General features: G+C 42.5%; 1 protein-coding gene, 1 non-coding gene and 1 pseudogene across 2 annotated transcripts in view; all 3 read right to left on the bottom strand.

Moving 5' to 3' along the window:
• Positions 1-21,214, bottom strand: part of HS3ST4 (heparan sulfate-glucosamine 3-sulfotransferase 4) — a 445,727-nt gene that overhangs the window by 106,878 nt on the left and 317,635 nt on the right. The window lies entirely within an intron of this gene.
• RNA5SP405 (RNA, 5S ribosomal pseudogene 405) lies at positions 1,783-1,896 on the bottom strand (annotated as a pseudogene).
• Positions 5,498-5,571, bottom strand: MIR548W (microRNA 548w). The gene has a single exon (NR_036146.1). It is a non-coding gene; the product is annotated as a microRNA 548w (primary transcript).

Genomic DNA, 21,214 nt, shown 5'->3' with positions numbered 1-21,214 from the left:
TAGCTTGTATGTAGAAGAGATGAATTTCAAGCATGGGTTTCTAGGACCCAAGACCATATTTATTCTATGAAATGATACCATTTCCAGCAGATGCCAGGTCTCACTCCTAGAATTCTTATGGTTGAAGGGAATGAGACTCAACCTAGGTGAGTGGGTGTATGGTGCCTAGGTATGTATAGCCAGCAAGCTCCCAGGAGAAGTACAAAACTGGTTCTGATGGGCTCTACAGGTCTTACTTAATTGGGTTATAGAAGGAGAAAAAGTGTAATATTTCTAGTAATTACAAATATGACTGCCTACTATGCACCAGCCATGGCTTCAGGTGCTTTGCGTTGATTTATTTGCACCTCATCATTAACCTAGAAATATAAACAATTTCAGCATTATTTCTTTCTCTTTTTTAGAGACGGCGTCTCACCCGGTGCCTAGGCTAGAGTGCAACGGCACAATCATAGCTCACTGCAGCCTCTAACTTCTGAGCTTAAGTGATCTTCCTAACAGCCTCCAGAGTAGCTGAGACTACAGGTGTGCACCACCACACCCAGCTATTTCCTTTTTACAGGTGAAGAGACAAGGGATTGTGTATTTATGTAACTCACAAAATCATGGAGCTAGAGATGAGCAGAGCTAAGATGTGAACCTAGGCAGGCTGGTCTATTCTTCACCACCATACCCAGTGATCACATGAAGATGAGACAAAAATCTATCTCACATGAAAGGAGGAAGCCTGGACCTCCAAATGTCCCTAGACCCATGCTGCCATGCGGTGCACTCACAAGTTGGACAGGTCTTGCTCTCACAAAGAGCGAACGATGGGGGGACTAAGAATTTGGTATTGACAGGTGCTCAGGGGACGGGTGTTTTTCAGCAAAGAGGTCAGTGTGTGCAGAGGTGTGGGGTTAAGAAAGGACATATCCTGGTTTCTCAAAAATCGAACCAGTGGATAACTCACTTCTTTTGACACTGCGTGTGGAAATGGTGGTGAATGACCAGGAAACAGTCCCTCATGGGTCAGCTCCTTCAGGCCAGCACCCTTCTCCTGGAACTGATGCTTCAATAAACCCAGCAGCTCTCCCAGGTAGAAAGAACTACATAATTGCCAGGCGCAGTGGCTCACGCCTATAATCCCAGCACTTTGGGAGGCCGAGGCGTGTGGATCAAAAGGTCAAGAGTTTGAGACCAGCCTGGCCAACATGGTGAAACCCCATCTCTACTAAAAATTCAAAAATTAGCCGGGCATGGTGGCGCATGCCTGTAACCCCAGCTACTCAGGAGGCTGAGGCAGGAGAATCACTTGAACCCAGGAATCGGAGGTTGCAGTGAGCCTAGATTGTGCCATTGCACTCCAGCCTGGGCGACAGAGTGAGACTTTGTCTCAAAAAAAAAAAAAGAACTACCCCTTGCAAAATGAAGTGTGGGGACCCTTGTTCAAAAATTATTAAGAATTTTAAGATGGCAATAGCGGACCATTAAACCAAGTATGGGATGGGACCGTCCAAGTGCAGGGCCCCTGTGGCTGTTCAGGCCATGTGACCATGAAACCAGTCCTGCCCCCAGGTTTCCCTGAGCTACCACAGCATCATAACTCTTAGCTCATTTTTTTCTAGTGACCATTCTGGAAACTGAGTATTATCAAATCCAAGTTCCAGTTACAAAAACTCTGTGGTAAAGAATGACTTGACCAAATTCTCAGAATTCATGAATGACTGTGTCAGGATAGGAATAAAAATAAAACAACAAGTAATAGTTGATGTGTGTGGAGTCCCACGACCGAAACCTAAAATTTTCTGACACCAAAACCCATATTCTCCCATCCAAGTACTAACCAGGCCTGACCCTGCTTAGTTTCCAAGATCAGACGAGATCGGGTATGTTCAGGGTAGTATGGCCATAGACAAAAGACCCACGTTCTTACACACTTTGCCACTCTGCCTCCTGCCTGTAGGTCAGGGCTCTGTGTTTAATCCAAAACGTAGATGGTTTCATAACTGGAATATAAAAAGTGGCCTGGAGTAGCTAGGCTCCGCCCAGAGATACAATCAATATATATGTCAACAACTGTTCAATATCATGAATATCTTCCCCAACACCTAGAGAAGAAGTGCACATGGAGATGTGGGATAGTTTGGGCTTTTTATAAACTGCATTGTTGCTGCCACGTCACCCTCATCTCTGGTTGGCACAGAAACTAGCCCATCACATTGCACTCAGCAAGCTGATCAAGAAGCCTCTCTCAGGCTGGGCACAGTGGCTCATGCTTGTAACTCCAACACTTTGGGACGCAGGAGGATCGCCTCAGACCAGGAGTTGGAGACCAACCTGGGCAACACAGTGATAAACCATCTCTACAAAATAAATAGTTTTGTTTTAAAAAGTCTCTCTTCTTGATAACTAGTCATACCCACACAAGAGAATAAGTTATCTTTATCTTTATGATCATCTTTAATTTTCACAATTTTTAAAGTGGATTAAAAATACAGTCCCTACCTCATCTTTGCTTACTTTCTTATTCTTTTTTTTTTTTTTTTTTTTTTTGAGACGGTGTCTCACTCTGTCACCCAGGCTAGAGTGCACCTGAGCCATCTTGGCTCACTGCAACCTCTGCTTCCCACGTTCAAGCAATTCTCTTGCCTCAGCCTCCCAGGTAGCTGAGATTACAGGCGCCTGCTACTACACCCAGCTAATTTTTGTATTTTCAGTAGAGACAGGGTTTCACCATGTTGGTCAGGCTGGTCTCGAACTCCTGACCTCAGGTGATCCACCCACCTCGGCCTCCCAAAGTGCTGGGATTACAGGCATGAGCCCCGCTCCCAGCCCTCTCTTATTCTTTTTAATCTTTATTCTGAATTAAAAAGACTCTTTGTTTTCCAGATTGTTTCTTTCCTGGGAGATGGACTGCAATCCAGCCACATCCTTAGTTTTGCAAAGGGTTAAGACCATGGAGTCAGCCATTACTGAGTTTAGGCCCACCCCCTTGTATCACTAGATGTGTGAACTCGAACAAGTATTAAACTTCTCCTAAGCCTCAGTTTCTTCTTCTGTTACATCAGGATTAATAAGAGAATGCCTACTGTGTATAGTTGCTGTGATTATTATGGTCCTAGCATATTTATAATGTGCTTCATGAATGTTAACAGTTAGTAGTTGTATAATTGGCAGTGGTCCTAGGAAGCTGTTCTCACCAAATTCTTCTGCTGTCTCATTCACTCATTCATTCATTTATTCAACATAAATAAACACTGTGCCAGATCCATACCATAATTTGGAGAAGCAAAATGAGATAGGGGCATAAATCTAGAGGAGTTCAAGAAGGAGAAGTAAATGTGGACCTAAATAATGACATGACAAAGTAGACAATGTTCACAGAGAATATGGAGATAGGAACTCGGGCTGGGGGAGTCAAGGAAGGCTTCTTAGAAGAGGAAGCATCCCTGGGCTTTTAAGATGGAATGTAAGTAGTTCCCTGGGTCATGTTTCAACTACTGGCCAATGAGAACCACAGAAATTTCTTATGAATGGAACTGTCTGTAGTTTCCTGATGGCTACTGGCCAATGAGAACCATAGAAATTTCTTATGAATGGAACTATCTGTAGTTTCCTGACAGCATGGCTACAGTCCAAAGTAATCCCCAGTTCAGAGTTTTACTTTTGTTTTTGACAAGTGAAACAGATTTTACTTTAAGTTTTATTTTAAGAAGTAAAATAAATATTTCTTCATAGTCCAAAGGTCTGCAGTTGGGACTTCGGCAGTAGATATTTATAAGCAGGGGTACTCTGAAGAAACAGAAAGTACTGCCTTATGAATAAAGATTCATTGCTTCAGAGGTCTATCATGAGTCCTATGGGATTTTCCAAATGCTTAGCCTACGGATTCATGTGCACGCAAAAGGTTTAGCATTTATCATTTAAATGTCCCATGAGGACATCTCCCTTCCACTTTGCCCTACACAGCGGAAGTTCCTGGTGGCTCTTTCTTCTTTGATAGCTTGAGCACCAGTGCCATTTCTCATATCAGACTCAGAGCGTACATCTGATTGGTCCAAAACAATTATGACGACCCCACTTCTCTTGCCAGTGTTTCATGCGGGGCTGGACGTGTAATCAAATTCTGGAGAAATGACATGAGCAGAAATCAGCTGGGGAGCTTCTGGGAAAGGTTTCCTTTCTCAGACACAGGGGTACCAAAAAGTGATGTCATATCTTGTTTTTCCATATTCTTGTTCTTCTGGAGAGAGTTGATTCTGGAGGTGATGCCTAATATTGCTGTATCTGTTTCATGACTATGGGGCAAAGCTAGCCTGCATGGAAAACTGACATAAGATAATAGCAAAGGAGAAAGATAGGAATAACCAGATCATTGGTGACATCATTGAGCTACTGAATTACCCAACCTTGGAGCCACTCTACCTTCCAAACTTCCTCCTAGGTGCAATAACGAACTATTCTTATGGTGTAAACTGATGCACCAGAGCTTTCTGTTGTGACCAAATGCATCCTTTCTGACTAAGCCCTAGTATATTGGCTTTTGAAATCCAAGCATTGGTCCTGGTTATCACCCTAAGGAGAAACTAGGGAGGTTTCTCAAAAACGATGTTGTTTCCGGCCGGGTGCGGTGGCTCACGCCTGTAATCCCAGCACTTTGGGAGGCTGAGGCAGGCAGATCACGAGGTCAAGAGATCAAGACCAGCTTGGCCAACATGGTAAAACCCTGTCTGTACTAAAAATACAAAAATTAGCTGGGCATGGTGGCACACGCCTGTAGTCCCAGCTACTTAGGAGGCTGAAGCAGGCAGACCACGAGATCAAGAGATCGAGACCAGCCTGGCCAACATGGTAAAACGCTGTCTCTACTAAAAATACAAAAATTAGCTGGGCATGGTGGCACGTGCATGTAGTCCCAGCTACTTGGGAGGCTGAGGCAGGAGAATTGTTTAAATCCGGGAGGCAGAGGTTACAGTGAGCCAAGATCACACCACTGCACTCCAGCCTGGCGACAGAATGAGACTCCATCTCAAAACAAAAGCAAAAACAAAGGAACAAAAAAAGGGTGGTGTTGTTGCTAAGCCTTCCAGAAGTTCCTTGGTAAACTGAATTCCCTGTTATTGCCTACGATCCCATGATGTGACATCAATCAATGTTGCAGAGGCATAGGAGCCTGCCCTAGCCTTTAGCATTTGCCAAATAGTTGACTTCATCAGCCCTCTGTACCCTCTAATAAAGAACCAGTGGCACATCACAAGCCAATCAAAAACTCCTTTGCGTGGCAGCGTTCCAGTTCTTCTGAGACCTAAACTCTGTTTCAAACAAAGTGGCTGGAGTTTCTGGGATTGCTGGCTTTTGTGGCCTGTAGATCTGAATAATCCCATAAAATATCCCTTCAAAAGAAGAGCACGAGTGTTCTGAGGAGCATGTTGGATATCAGATGTGAGACCCAGCGTACGAATGAAACGGTAATAGATGATGGAAAGTGCAAGGAGACTTGGCAATCAACCTATTAGATTGGTGCAAAAGTAATTGTGGGTTTTGCCATTATGTTGAAAGGCAAAAACCGCAGTTACTTTTGCACCAACCTAACTAGGCCCTATCTTAACATCAGGTGATGTTACAGTCCTTTCCTCTTGGAAAAATTTGTCCTTTTATTAAAAAGTGGCATGGCTTCTCATACATTAGAGGTATCTTAGGAATGTAATTTTTTATTCTCTGCAAATCTATATAAAAGCAACATGTACCCAACATGGTCTTAAGGGGATAGGATGAAATTTAGTAAAAAAAAAAAGTTGGAACTTTACCCATTAGTAACTTTACTAAGAATGAAATGGGAGAGGGGAGGTCCACAGAATAAAGATAAGTCATATTCCACAAACAAGTGCTTTGCTGGCCATGCAACTGTTAGCAGGTCACTTAGATAATCCAGCTTTTGGTTTACTCACCTAGCATGGGGGTGCTGGACTTGACCCACAGCCTGTGCTAGATTACACTCTGTCAATTTGGCTAAGGCTGGAATTACACAAAGGATAAAGATCATTAAAAGTGTTCTATAAACCATAAAGCACTACGTAAATGAGACTTTTTTTTGAGATGGAGTCTTGCTTTTGTCGCCCAGGCTGGAGGGCAGTGGCACGATCTTGGCTCACTGCAGTCTCTGCCTCCTGGGTTCATGCGATTCTCCTGCCTCAGCCTCCCGAGTAGCTGGGATTACAGGCACCTACCACCATGCCCTGCTAGTTTTTGTATTTTTAGTAGAGACAGGGTTTCACCATATTGGCCAGGCTGGTCTTGAACTCCTGACCTCAGAGGATCTGCCTGCCTCAGCCTCCTAAAGTGATGGGATTACAGGTGTAAGCTACTGCGCCCAGCCCTGAGACTTGTTTTAAAAGCAAATGAAGTGGCCAGAGGGTGCTCTTCCTACATGGACTCTTATGCCACAGTTCTAAAGGGAAGATGGATTATCAAACTGGGCCATGAGGCAGCATAACTAATGAACTATTATGATAAGCAGAGATCTCACTTACTGACATGTCCTGGATACCATGCACTGAGCTAAGTGCTTTACAGACATTGCCTTTTTTTTTTTTTTTTCCTTTTGAGACGGAGTCTCTCTCTGTTGCCTGGGCTGGAGTGCAGTGGTGTGATCTCTGCTCACTGCAACCTCCACCTCCGGGTTCAAGCGATTCTCCTGCTTCAGCCTCCCAAGTAGCTGGGATTACAGGCATGTGCCACCACATCAGCTAATTTTTGTATTTTTAGTAGAGATAGGGTTTCAACATGTTGGCCAGGCTGGTCTCAAACTCCCGATCTCAAGTGATACACCTGCCTCAGCCTCCCAAAGTGCTGGGATTACAGGCGTGAGCCACCGCACCCATTGACATTGTCTTTAATACCCAGAATGACCTCACAGAGGAAGCATTTTCTGATGAGGACACTGAGACTCAATCTCAATAATTCTTGAGGTCACACAACTTATAAGTGACAAGCCAGGGTGCAAACTCCTCTCTGTCTTGCAGCAAACATCATGTGCATTCTACCCCACTCTGCTATATCAACCAGAAAATCAGAGATAAAGACTAGGTAGGAGAGCTCCTTTATGCACATTAAATTATTGGCCAGGTGGGATGGCTCATGTCTATAAATCCCAGCACATTAGGAGGCTGAGACAAGAGGAACACTTGAGGCCGGGAGTTTGAGACCAGCCTGGCCAACATAACAAGGCCCCATCTCTACAAAAAAATAAAATAAAAAAATTAGCCAGGCCTGGTGGTGTGTGCCTCTAGTACTAGCTACTTGGGAGGTAGAGGTGGGAGGATCATTTGAGCTCAGGAGTTTGAGGTTGCAGTGGGCTATGATCATGCCATTGCACTCTAGCCTGGGTGACAGAGTGAGACCCTGTCTTAAAAAAAAAATTTAAGACAGTAAAAAATTGTTTTAATTCTATTCTTCTATCTATTTGAATAACCTTCTTCTTATCAGAGCAGTTGTGCCAATGTTTGAGGCAGAAATATATATATATATATAAAACATATATTTATGTATATATAGTCACCATACTTATACCTACAGATAAAAATAGTTTTATGGGAAAGTAAGTGGTACAAATGGTGCATCAAGATGACATAATCTGCAGCCATTAACAATGAAAATCATTACGATGCTTTAAAAACATGAAAAAATGCTTAAGAAATCCAGTGAGGTAAGGAAAAAAAAGAAATAGCAAATGGTATGTACACTGAAGTGAATACAGTTGGTTTTTTTTCTTCTTCTTTTTTTTGAGATGGAGTTTCACTCTTGTTTCCCCACCTGGAGTGCAATGGCATGACCTCGGCTCATTGCAACCTCCGCCTCCTGGATTCAAGAGATTCTCCTGCCTCAGCCTCCCCAGTAGCTGGGATTACAGGCATGCGCCACCACACCCAGCTAAGCCTGGCCAACATGATGAAACCCCATCTCTACTAAAAATACAGTTATTAAAGTTGTTAAAACAGTGTTTTCACAGAATAAAAAGCGCTGTAGGCCAGGTGTGGTATAATCTCAGCACATCGGGAGGCCAAGGCAGGAGGATTACTTGAGCAGCCCAGGAGTTTGAGACCAGCCTGGGCAACATAGCAAGACTCTCTTAAAAAAAAAAAAAAAGGAAGAAAATTCTGTGTGCAAAAAATGGACCTTTGAATTGACTAACAACCACAAGCCAGATTTTGACCTGCTGCCTGTCTGTACAGCCTGTAAATACAGACACACTCCTCCATTTCCACATAGTCTGGGACTACTTTCATGCTACAAAGGTAGAGCAGGTGGCCTCCTGGACCACAAAGCTTAAAATGTTTGCTATCTGCTCTTATAGAAAAAGACTGTGGGCCCTTGATTTAGAGCATGGGATTATGAATATGTCCCCTCCCCCAATTTTCAGTAAGTGTCCACTATGTAATTGCAGATGAAGAGTGAACCAATACAAATCACCCACCACTAACATTTTAGATTTAGATTTCCTTAATTTCCACTGAGATTCACCCAAAAGGTATTTACAATTTTGCTGAGAAGAGAACTTAGCTGGTTGCCATGGCTAATGCATAGAATCCTAACACTTTGGGAGGACGAGGCAGGAGGGTAGCTTGAGGCCAGGATTTTGAGATCAGCCTGGGCAACACAGTGAGACCCCATAGCTACAAAAAAATAATTTTAAAAAACTAGCCAGGCATGGTGACATGTGCCTGTAGTCCCAGCTACTTGGGAGGCTGAGGCAGGAAGATCACTGGAGCCCAGAAGTTCAAGGCTGCAGTGGACTAAGAAAGTGCCACTGCACTCCAGCCTGGGTGATGTAGCAAGACCCTGTCCCCCAAAAAATAATAATAGTAGGCTGGGTGTGATGGCTCACACCTGTAATTCCAGCACTTTGGGAAGCCAAGGTGGGCAGATCACGAGGTCAGGAGATCAATACCAGCCTGGCCAACATGGTGAAACCCCGTCGCTACTAAAAATACAAAAATTAGCTGGTTGTGGCAGCACGTGCCTGCAATCCCAGCTACTCAGGAGGCTGAGGCAGGAGAATCACTTGAACTCAGGAGGCGGAGGTTGCAGTGAGCTGAGATCGCACCACTGCACTCCAGCCTGGTGACGGAACTAGACTCTGTCTCAAAAATAATAATAATAATAATAATAGAACTTAGATTGGAAGTGCTTAGAGGTTGTGTTTGTATGGGAAGGGGCCGCATGTCTGATGTGTGAGCCTCGTACGCTGCTGGGCATCCTCACAGCCTCACATCTCTGTGGGTCTCTGTTGTATTCATGAATGACCACATCCTATCTTTTTCAGTGAAACTAAATAATAGGATGCAGTAATTGCTACCTCAAATATCTACAATGGCGGACAGGTAACACAAATGAGTAAAGTGGGTTGAGTGTAAGATAATAGGGAATGGGGAGGACAGAAGTCAACAGGAAAGAATGTCTGTCCCATCTCATCCATCTAATGATGCAGGCTGATCACCGCTGGGCAGGAATGCAGGTCCAGTGTGGACAGATCTTTTAACTTTTCGAAGGAAGATGAAAATCAGACATGTATGTAAAATCGCCCATATATAAAAATTGACAACAAACTCCTTTTTAAAAATCACCACATAAAATAAATCTGCCAGACAAATTTGGCCCATAGCTGACTATGGTGCAACTCTACTAAAATTAAATTCACCATGTATGTGTTTGCAGTGATCATTACCTCACTCGGGGCTGTTTTGATGTTTCAAACTCCAAATGTTCAAATATTAACAATCACATTTAAGAAGTGCTTACAGCATGACAGGAACTGTGGAAAGGGCCTTATATGCATGGATGCATCTATTCCTTTATGAGGCAAGAACCATTCTTACCAACCATCCCCATTTTACATATATGGAAACTGAGGCATAGATCATTAATTCACCAAAATTTGCAAAACTAATACATGTAGAGATTGGGCTTGAACCTAAACAATGTGGGTCCTGGAGTTTGTGTTCTCAGCCCGGGCTTCTCACACTTGAACCTGCACACGGATCACCTAAAGATCTACTTGAAGGCAGATTCTGGTTTAGAAGGTCTGGGATGAGGCTTGAGATTCATTTCCAGCAAGCTCCCAGGTGATGCTGATGTTGCTGGTTCATGAACCACACCTTGAGAGTAGCAAAGCTCTTAATCATGACATGAGAGGTTCTCAAAGTGTGTTTCCCAGAGCAGCAGCACCAGCATCACCTAGGGGTGCTTTCAACATGCAGTTTCAACAAACTGTGTTTGTGAAGCCCTGCAGATGATTCTGATGCAGGTTCAAGTTCTTAGAAATGCAAAGCCTCAGTCCTCCGGCTGTCACAGCGCTGCTCTTTCTGATCATCTCTCGTTTGGCTGTGGGAATGGTCAGAGCTTTTTCTCTTAGGACATTGATTTTTGCTTAGGGAGGGGAGACACAATGTACTAATGCCTCTTCGTATATCTATAATTCTCGTGCCCCACAGACAACAGCACTTCTTTAAATAGATGCAAGAGCTGTGGCCCTAGACACTCTCCTTTTTGCACATTTACCTTCCACTGAGGCCAAGATCAAGCAATATAAAATTATCCCAGTTTGACTCAAGTCATCTCTCTGTTCCCACTGTCAACTGTCAAAGGTGACTGCCACTGTGTTCTCTGGGCTTTTGACACCTTTTTCCAGAAGCTCTGCATGCCCTGGGCTTTAGACATGCAAATCCTTTGGAAGGCAAGACAGGTGGGATCCGAGTGTATTTGGTAGGGGGGGCGGTGTTTAGGGGAAGCACAGAAACCACACAGCTGTTATCTGGAGCACCAGAAGTGTTTTGACAGTTTTCAAGATGGACATTAAATCACTCGCTGGAGAGAAAGTGAAGTGGGTGTCAGTCAGGCTGGGGATGGGGTAGGCAGCTGGCAAGTAGCAATTGTGGTGGCTGTGTGATGCGAGTCAGAATGAGAATCATAAATCTTGATTATTCTCTGTCTCAGCTGATTTGAACCAAACGGCTTGGACAGGGATAGAGTTCACATCTCACTGAAAACTGCAAAAAAACTGATTAAATATACAAACTGATATAAATAGCCCTCGATCCATGTTAATGTTCAAACCATCACCACTGAGGGAAAGAGGCAACGTTGTGCAGATCTGGGATCTGTTTTGATAAGAAGTGGTGTTCTAGATCCCAGGAGCCAGACGGACCCGCCGCCCTCCCTGTGTGTTTCCAATCCATTGCCAGTCCCCATCACTCTGTTGCCAGAATGCTAGCTGTTCTTATAATGAAGGCAATTAGTACAGCCAGCCCTCTTACTCTGATTGCCCTCCTGTTAAAATTAGGCACCCTATAGAAAAATGAAAATGCAGAGTCGTTACCATAAAGCAATAATAAAGTAAACCATTCAATTACGGATGTAAAAAAGGCACTTGGATTAATAAGAATATTGTATGCTTAAGAGCATTAAAATACCAGCATATTACCATTTTTGCATACATAATGAATGAACTTAGAGACCAGAATGATTGGGACGTGAAAATACTAAATGATGGTGCCCTTCCTTATAAGTCAATGCTGCTACTTGAGGTCTAGGGGTGCAGGGATGCATGAACCCCACTGCCCCCCTGGACATTCATATCACTGTTTGGAAGCAGGGATTGATTGAGGGGGTGGATCGGGGGGTAGCAGATGAGAGAGAAAAGACGAGTAACTGGCAGCATCCACTTGCAGGACGGGAATATGATGTTTTTTATCGTTTGTTAGAAGGCTTGAAGAATCCTCAGCATCAAGATGAGGAAATTAGAGGTAACAGAGTATAGAGCAGGGATTGCAAAGTCACATAGTGGCAGGAGCCAGGCAGGTAACAAAAACAAATGAGCTGGGCCAACTGAAAGATGATCAAGAACAGGGTGACTGTATTGAAACTAAACCACTGCCTGCTACTTAGCTTCAGCCAGTTTGTTTTGTTTTGTTTGGTAGTGATTTTTTTTTTTTTTTCCATGAGGAGGCTTGGTTGCCAGATCTTCTGGTGATTTTCAGAAACTAAAGTTGATGTTTGAGGTTTCCCAATTTTTAAAATACTGTAAGCCAAACACGATGTTGTGAGGACCCAATTTGCCTCCAGGATCACTGCTTGTGATCCTTGGTGTAATGTTAAATGCTCAAAAGTAGGGAGTCAGGATATTGTCTCCTTTCCTGACTTTGTCAATATTTGACTCTGTTGACCTGGAAAAATCTCATAGCCTCTCTGGGATTCAGTTTTCTCATGTGTAAAACAAAGTCTTCTAGGCTGCAAGTGCTATAAGGGCAACCATGATGTCTCTTTGGTTCATCACGATATCCCCAGAATGTAGGACAATGCCTGGTACACAGTAAATGCCGAGAAAAAATGTTCGTTGCATGACTGAAAACAACGGAAGAATAAATGAAAGTCCTCTGAATTCCCACAACCAGTCTCCTGGTTTCTTACTGTTAGTTCCGACCAATCCTGTGCCCCCCAACAACTCCCCTTCCTGTTGACAAGATATAAACCCTGGTCCCTGACTCAGCCACTTGCTCAATTTATACTTCTTTCATTCACTTCCATTCATTTAGTTATTCATCTTTGGAACTATAATGCAGCCCCACTATGCTGGATGAGGTCCTGTGCTGGGAACTGGCCACACAGAGATAAAAAGGCAGTAGCCCTGCTTTCAAGTGACATCCAAACTAGTGAGGTTGAACAACAAGTGAGCACAGACATGGGATGCAGTGTGATAATCAGCTCTCTACTGGAGACATGTGCGACGGGCCATCTTGGCTTATTTCTTTGACCCATGCATCCAACTCACCTATAATCCTTCCTAATGAAACAGATTCTAGAATCCTGTTGCTGTTACCTGAATTATGAAAATTCATGTAGGAAGTTCCTCTCTGCCCTGTACAGACAGTCCTTGTCATAACGCTGGCTGTCCCAAATCTCCCATTGGTACCATTTGTGGGGTCTGCCTTTCCTTCCAAATTTGTTCCCAGGCTCTTCTCTTAGCTCTCATGGCTAAACATCCTAACCCTATGTTCTATCCCTATTCATCAGGGGACTGCAAAATCAGTCCCTTGAGGACTTTTTCTCTCTTGAAGATCCCATAATTCTGATTCAAGATGAACTCCAGGAAGACATTAATGACTGATATTGAAGAAATACCTTTCTGATACGGGAGGATTCTCATTTAACAGTAAATCCTCATTAGAAAGTGCTGCTTTGGTACAGTGCTACCATGAAAGTGTTTCATTTTTTGCCAGATCTAGATATCTCCTGTTCCATCACTATGCAAACAATTTCTGGAAGCTCTCTCTTTTCTTTCATTTCTGACTGCAAACTGGCCAATTTTTTTCCTAGCTCATTGCTTTCATGTAATGTATTGCCACACGCAGCCAATATCAACCAACACACACTCCTAATGTCGCATTTTCCAACTTTTCCCCTAGAGCTCCAAGTTAATCAGACATGTGGCCTGCCTCCAAAGTTATCACAAGGGACAGTTTTACCAAGCATTTGCTAAACAGAGATCACCATGTTAGTAGCCTTTAGCAGAAGTTTCCTTTCTCCTCACCTACCCTGCTAAGTGAATGCTAAATGTTTTAGGATTTTGTTATAAAATCACCCCACTCATGGTACTAATTTCTGTGTTACAAAGAAGGCTAGATTACTCTGGGATAACAAATTAGTGCGTAAGTGTCAGTTGCTGAATGCAAGTGTTTGTTTATTGTTCGTGCCACATGTCCACTCTTGGTTGGCAGGAGGCTCTGCTGTGTATAGTCCCTTGAGGAAACTCTACCAGAATGGGAAGCAATTATCTCAACACACAACTTCTTGATTGACTGTGGCTGAATAATAAATAGTTGGGAGGTAATATGGGCTTTCTCTTGCCTGCAGCCTCTTAGCCAGGGATAATGTCAAGGCTCTGTCTAACTCTAAGGAATATGAGAAATACAGTCCTCTTGAGTGCCCAGAAGGAAGGAAAGAACCAAATATGAGTGAGCACTAGACATTTCTATCACACTCACTTAATATCTTCTTCAAATTGAATGATTTTTATATAAAAAATTCTCATTTAAAGTAGAGTATATACTCCCTGAGAAAAATTATTTGCATAAGGAGACTTGCTATATCTTCCATAAAGAAGACTTGCTATATCTTCACTGGTACCCCTGCCATAAACAGATGGTAAGTACAAATTGTGTCAGAAACAGAAACAAAACACATTTTAAAAAATTTAATGCAGATATTATTGTGGATGAAGGGCCTAAGTCTGAGACTCACTTTCCCTTTATAAAAAAGAGGATGATATGCTAATGATAGAGAAGTATTCAAGCTATATTAGCCAAATGGAAACATTCTCCTTGGTATAATCAGACAGAAAGAGAAGTAACATGTGAAAAGCTTCTTTACTACGTGATTCAGTGTTACTCAATGCCCTGTTCACGTAGCTTCTAAAATAACTGAGTATACACCAGTAGCACTTTTATACCTATGAGTTACTCTGACCTAGACTGTGTCAGGGTAGACAACATTAGATATTTGGAGCCTGGAGTGACAACCACATTTATAAGCAGATTATTGGATACTTTATCCATAAGAACAGCCTCATCAGAGCACACTTAGTTTACAGGAACAAAACAGCATGCAAGACGATAAAATTCATCTGCATACATTCTGATCTATGCAAGCCATACATGTCTATGCTGATTTCTGGATTTACTCTAACAGAGAGTTTTTCGGCCTCACCAGTACAGATACTTTGGGGCAGCTATCTCTTTGCTGTTGGAGGAAGGAGGCTGCCTTGTGCATTGTATAATATCTAGCAGCATCTCTGACGTCATCCACTAGATTTCAGTAGCACACCCCACCCCCAGCTGTGACAACTAAAAATGTCTCTATACCTTGATAAATGCCTCTGGGTGGGAGTTATAATCACTCCTAGTTAAAAAGTATGAGTTTAACTTAAATCCCCCCAAATTGGAAAGACATCTTGTGAAGTAAGGAATTTGGCCTCTAAAGAAAGGAGGCCTAACTTTTCTTCTGGCTCCTGGGAAGTAACACCTAGATCCTTAGAATTTCCTGAATGATAGGAATTTGTGCTTGGACCCTCAGATGACACTTAGTAGTTCATCTTAACAAGACGGTTCAAGGTGGGAATTGGCTATGCCACAAAGACCAACCATGCAATCAGAGGGCTGGAGCTTTGACTCCCATGTTAGTCTAACCTCTAGGGAGGAAAGGAAAACCAGAATTTGAGTTCAGTCATGTGGGCATTAATTCAATCAGTCATGATTAAGTTATTGACTCCAATAAAAGTCCCAATAAAAACTCTGGACATAGAGACTTGGGTGAGCTTCCTGGATTGGCAACACTACACACATATTGGCATATATTGATGTTGGGAGGATAAGACATCTCTAAAAATGACAGAAGCTCTGCATTTGGGACCCCCATTCCCCACCAGATTCTGCTTCTGCATTTCTTCCTTGGTTGGTTGTAATACGTATCGTTTCACTATAATTAAACATAATTGTAAGTATTACTCTTTCCTGAGTTTTGCAAGTCCCTCTGGTATTGCACCTGACGGTGACCTTGTGAGCTCCCGAATTTGCAGACAGCTGATCTGAAATGAGGATGGGGTTGAGGGCCCCCACACTTGTTGCTGGTGTCAGAAGTCTTAGGTCGACTTGGCAGCCTAAAAGATTATATTCTTAACCTCTAGCTTGGCTAACTCCAAATACGACTCTAACAAGGTCATCCATTTTTACTATCAATTTCATTAATTCTGCCTTTAAAATCTTTTCTTCAACAATTTGCCACAGCTCCTTATGCAAAAGGTCTGTATTCAATTAGCTCTAGTTCACCATATTAGCCAGAAGAAGTCTCTAAATATTTAACCACAAAGGTGTGGTGGAAAGAGCTCTGGACCTCTCAATCATGAGTTCAAATCCTAATTCAACCCCTTTTGCTTGTATATTATGATGGTAAAGTCACTTCAGTCTTTTGAGAAGTGTAAAATGGTGATGATACAATAGCAAAGACATAGAATCTACTTAAAAACTCATCAGTGATGGACTGGATAAAGAAAATATGACACATATACACCATGGAATACTATGCAGCCATAAAAAAGATCAAGATCGTGTTCTTTACAGCCACATGGATGGAGCTGAAGGCCATTATCCTAGGTGAACTAAAGTAGGAGCAGAAAATGAAATACAGTGTGCTCTCGCTAATAAGTGGGAGTGAAACACTGAATACACATGGACACAAAGAAGGGAACAACAGACACCAGGACCTATGTGAGGATGGAGAGTCAGAGGAGGGTGTGAAATGAGAAACCACCTATAGGGTACTATGCTTATAACCTGGGTGATGAAATAATTCGAACACCAAACCTCCTAACACTCAATTTACCTATATAACAAACCTGCACATGTACCTTGAACCTAAAATAAAAGTTAAAAATTTAAAAATAAATAAAGTAAAATGGTGACGATAGAACTTTCATTCATTCATTTGTTAAGTATTCATGGAATGTCCACAATGTGTCAGGCACTGATCTAGCCCCAGGGACACAACAGTGAACAAGATGAGGTCCCTGTCCTCATAGAGTTTACATACTAGTAGGATAGACAGACAACAATCATGCCACTATTTCATATTATTTCAGATGAGAATTGCCACAAAGGAAAATAAAGCAAAATAGCGGAAGAGAAAGGGAGAGTAGGAGTAGGAGTGGGTGTTTTTAAAATTTTTTAATTTTTGTTTTATTTATTTATTTATTTATTTATTTATTTATTTTGAGACAGAGTTGCTATCTGTCGCCAGCCTGGAATGCGGTGGCGCGATCTCAGCTTACTGCAACCTCTGCCTCCCAGGTTCAAAAGATTCTCCTGCCTCGGCCACCAGAGTAGCTGGGACTACGGGCATGCCACCACACCCAGCTAATTTTTTTGTATTTTTAGTAGAGATGGGGTTTCACCATGTTGGCCAGGATGGTCTCGATCTCCTGACCTCATGATCTGCCCACCTTAGCCTCCCACAGTGCTGGGATTACAGGCATGAGCCACCGCTCCCGGCCAGAGTGGGTGCTTTTTAACAGTGTAGTTTGAGAACATCTCTCTGAGAAGGAAGCATTTATGCGAAGGCCCTGAGGTGAGAACACTTTCGACATATTTGAAATATTTAAAAAATAGTCATCCAGGATTAAATGAAATGAAGCCTATGAAATTGATGAGCTTAGTCCCTGGCACTTAAATAAAAATTTAAGCATCTATTGGGTGAATCTGTATAAATGCATGCTGAGTGTTTTTGGAAAACATCCCTAGGAGTAATTACGGTGGAATTCTATGTGTGCTGACCATATATTTTATATTAATTGCTTTATTTGCTCCTCATAACAACCTCTTGAGCTAGATAATATTGTCTTCACCATTTTTATAGATGATGAGGAAATTAAGGCAAAGGCATTAAGTAAATTGCTCAAATTCACACAGCTCTTAAGTGGTAAAACCAGGAATGGTACCTGGGCAGTTGTTTTTTGAGCACCTTGTCCCTAACTACTCTGCCACACCATGTGTTCTTCTGTTTGTTTTGTTTTTTTGGTGTTTTTTTTGTTTTTATTTTATGTATGTATTTATTTATTTTTGACAGAGTCTTGCTCTGTCACCAGGCTAGAGTACAGTGGCACGATCTCAGCTCAGTGCAACCTCTTGCCTCTTGAGTTCAAGCGATTCTCTTGCCTCAGCCTCCCGAGTAGCTGGGATTACAGGCACGCGCCACCACACCCAGCTAATTTTTGTATTTTTAGTAGAGATGGGGTTTCACCATGTTGGCCAGGATGGTCTCAATCTCTTGACCTCGTGATCTGCCCGCCTCGGCCTCCCAAAGTGCTGGGATTACAGGCGTGAGCCACTGCGCCTGGCCTCATGTTTTAACAATAATGGCTCCAGCTCATTGTTCAGTCCCCTTTTTCTGACCTCTCAAAATACAACTGAACTTTTACTGTGAATTTCTTATTTAATAAATCTATTTATTCAATGAGCATTTATCAAACACCTGCCAAGTTCCTGGTCCCTGAACAGGCACTGAGAATATAAAGAATGTGGCCCAGCTTCTATACATTCTGAAATGTGGGGGTAGAGACAGCTACAAAATTATAATGCACTATTTTAAGCCTTGAAACACCATTTAACTGTCTCATGTGTCTTCAGCTCATCTTCCCAAGAGGTATATGTCAGCAGAGGTTGTGATGTGTAAAAATTATTGCTGATATATCTGGACATTTTCATAAACAATGGAAAAATATTAGTGGCTTCTGAGAAACAAAAGCTACAGAAGCAGAATTACAAATTTCAGGAAATCTTCAGTTCCACATAGAAGAGGCTCTACTGATCGGGTCTTCTCAGCTGCCTAAATCTTGATTTTACTCTCTTGACCTTTCCTCTTTATCAGAATATTTGGCTGATTGATTGAGGGACAAACCTTCCCTTTCTTTTTGATATTATTGCATATAATTTCCCCTTTCTCCGATCCTCAAGCTGATACACTTTGACAGGAAGCTCTATTGAGCCCTTTTCCCATATGCCACATGTGTGGAGATAAAACATGGATCACTGTTTCCTTGTTTTATGGTAAAACAGGATCGCCTGCAAACCACACCCTGCTGACTTATCTACTGAGGCACAGGGCCCTGTTGCCTGGTTGATGAATTCTTGAGATAGATTTGGAATTTGTGCATATTGCCTTCACAATCATTAAAGGAGCATTAATCGATTATTCAGGTGTAGAATCTATTCTGTTTCCCAACTTTATAGTCCTCTCAATCTTTTCCAGAAACTGCAAAGGCCATTTGGCCCTAACCTGGCTTTCATTAATCTTGGCTTGGGTAATACTTAGGAAGGCAAGCCTACAATCTGTAGACTTCATATCCTCATTTCTGTGACATAGATCTCAACCTCATATATCCTTCCTAGTATTCCTAATAGATTAATGAAACAGGGATGTCTTTTCTCTTGCTGTTATAACCACAACAGTGTCTTCATTCTAACCCCATTTCCTACACACATGCACACACACACACACACCTCTCTCTGTCTCTCTCTCACACACACACACACACACACACACACAAACATATACCTGTTATGACATTGTCACTGGCAGCTCATCAACCAAACGCAGGCTGAGGTTGTGTTTTATTGTACGTGGTCATGTATTTTAAACAGTTAAAATTGAATGCTTTTTTTTGAGACAGAGTCTTGCTCTGTCACCCAGGCTGGCATGCAGTGGCACGATCTCAGCTCACTGCAACTTCTGCATCCTGCGTTCAAGCACTTCTAGTGTCTCAGCCTCCCGAATAGCCAGGATTACAGATGTGTGCCACCACGCCTGGCTAATTTGTGTATTTTTAGTAGAGACGGGGTTTCACCATGTTGGTCAGGCTGGTCTCAAACGCCTGACCTCAGGTGATCTGCCTGCCTTGGCCACCCGAAGTGCTGGGATTACAGGCGTGAGCCACCACGCCTGGCCAAAATTGAATGCTTTTAAGTAATATCTGAGAGTTCCAATTTTGCCATAATCCCCATCAGTCTTTATTCTCTAATTTCATGTATTTATCTTACTGGCTTGGCCCCTGGAGGAACTTGAATTTGCAATCCCTCTCTCTAGTCCAATTTCCTAACCATGCCAAGCTGTGTCCTGGGTTTATGTAAGTGCACGTGCTGCTATCCAGGCCTGGACTTGTTTTCCTTCCTGAGCTATTAACAATAGCTGAGCTTAAGGTATAGGCAGAACACTGTGTGGAGCACTCTCATACGTTAGCTCATTTATTCCTCAAAACTACCCTTAGGAGAGAGTAGCTATTGTCATTCCTATTTTAGAGAAGAGAAAACTGAGGCTTAGAGAAATTAAGATAATTGTTTCATATAATATAGTAAATCTCAGATTTGAAATCAAGCCATTAGCTTTAAAACATACTTTCTTTTCTAATAAGTTATCGCAATAATTTTCCCTTATTCTTCAATGCTCAATTGAGACATGGCCTCCTCTGTGAAGCCTTCTTTGAGTCGCCACAAGCGGTATTAGCTATTTTTCTCTTGATGATTCTCTAAGTGCTACGCAGAACATCTCTTTGCAAAGTTATCAATTTGATAACTTTGCATTTATTTGATTCCAGGTAAAATCCTTCTAGAACAGTATTCCTCTGACTTGAAAATTATAGACACCCAAAAATATATGCATAGGTTCCCAGGTTTCCTTAAGCCTCAATTTAAAATCTCTATCTTAACAAACAAAAATGTATTTAAAAATTACATTTTCATTTTTTTTTTCTTTTTCCTTTTTTTTCTTTTTTTGAGATGGAGTCTCACTCTGTCTCCCAGGCTAGAGTGCAGCGGCGTGATCTCGGCTCACCGTAACCTCTGCCTCCAGGGTTCAAGCCATTCTCCTACCTCAGCCTCCCCAGGAGCTGGGATTACAGGAGCACGCCACTGTACCCAGCTAATTTTTGTATTTTCAGTAGAGACGGGCTTTTGCCATGTTGGCCCGACTGGTCTCAAACTCCTGACCTCAGGTGATCCACCCTCCTTGGCCTCCCATAGTGCTGGGATTACAGGCATGAGTCACCGCGCCGGGCCACATTTTCACATTTTAATGCCACTTAGACTACAGAAACATTGAAAGCCCACACCCATTCTAGTCTATAGACCTCTTAAAGACCTGTAACTCATCTTGGATCCTTATTGCTTAGACTTAGGCCTGGCCCAGATCACAGATTCTTAAAATGTTAGTTGAATGAATGAATGATAATCTGGTCCCTAAGAATAAAGGAGATACGGCCCGTGTTGCTAGGAAAACTTAGGCTACAGTGAAAAGCTGGCTTTGCAGAGCTGATTCCCCAAGGTCGGTGACTGCAGTTCATTCAGGTCTTAGAGTTGAGACAGTGGAATGAGCTTTAAGTCATACCTGCAGTTCTCCTGCAACATAGGATAATTGTACTTTCCAGCTCCATTGAGGTTAGGCGAGAGCACGTGAACTGCTTTAGCTAATAAGCACGTGAACTGCTTTAGCTCATAAAATGTGAGTGGGAGTGAAATAGGTTATTTCTGGGTGTAAGACTATAAGAGCTTGTGTACAACTGGCCGTTTTCCTTCGCTTGACCACAGTCTCCATGCAACATTCCACATGGCAGTGCTTGCATCCACCTGCACACCCG

This window comes from Homo sapiens, chromosome 16, assembly GCF_000001405.40.
Source record: "Homo sapiens chromosome 16, GRCh38.p14 Primary Assembly".
NCBI lineage: Eukaryota > Metazoa > Chordata > Mammalia > Primates > Hominidae > Homo > Homo sapiens.
The sequence above is the reverse complement of the archived record's forward strand: the minus strand, read 5'-3'. Positions and strand labels throughout refer to the sequence as shown.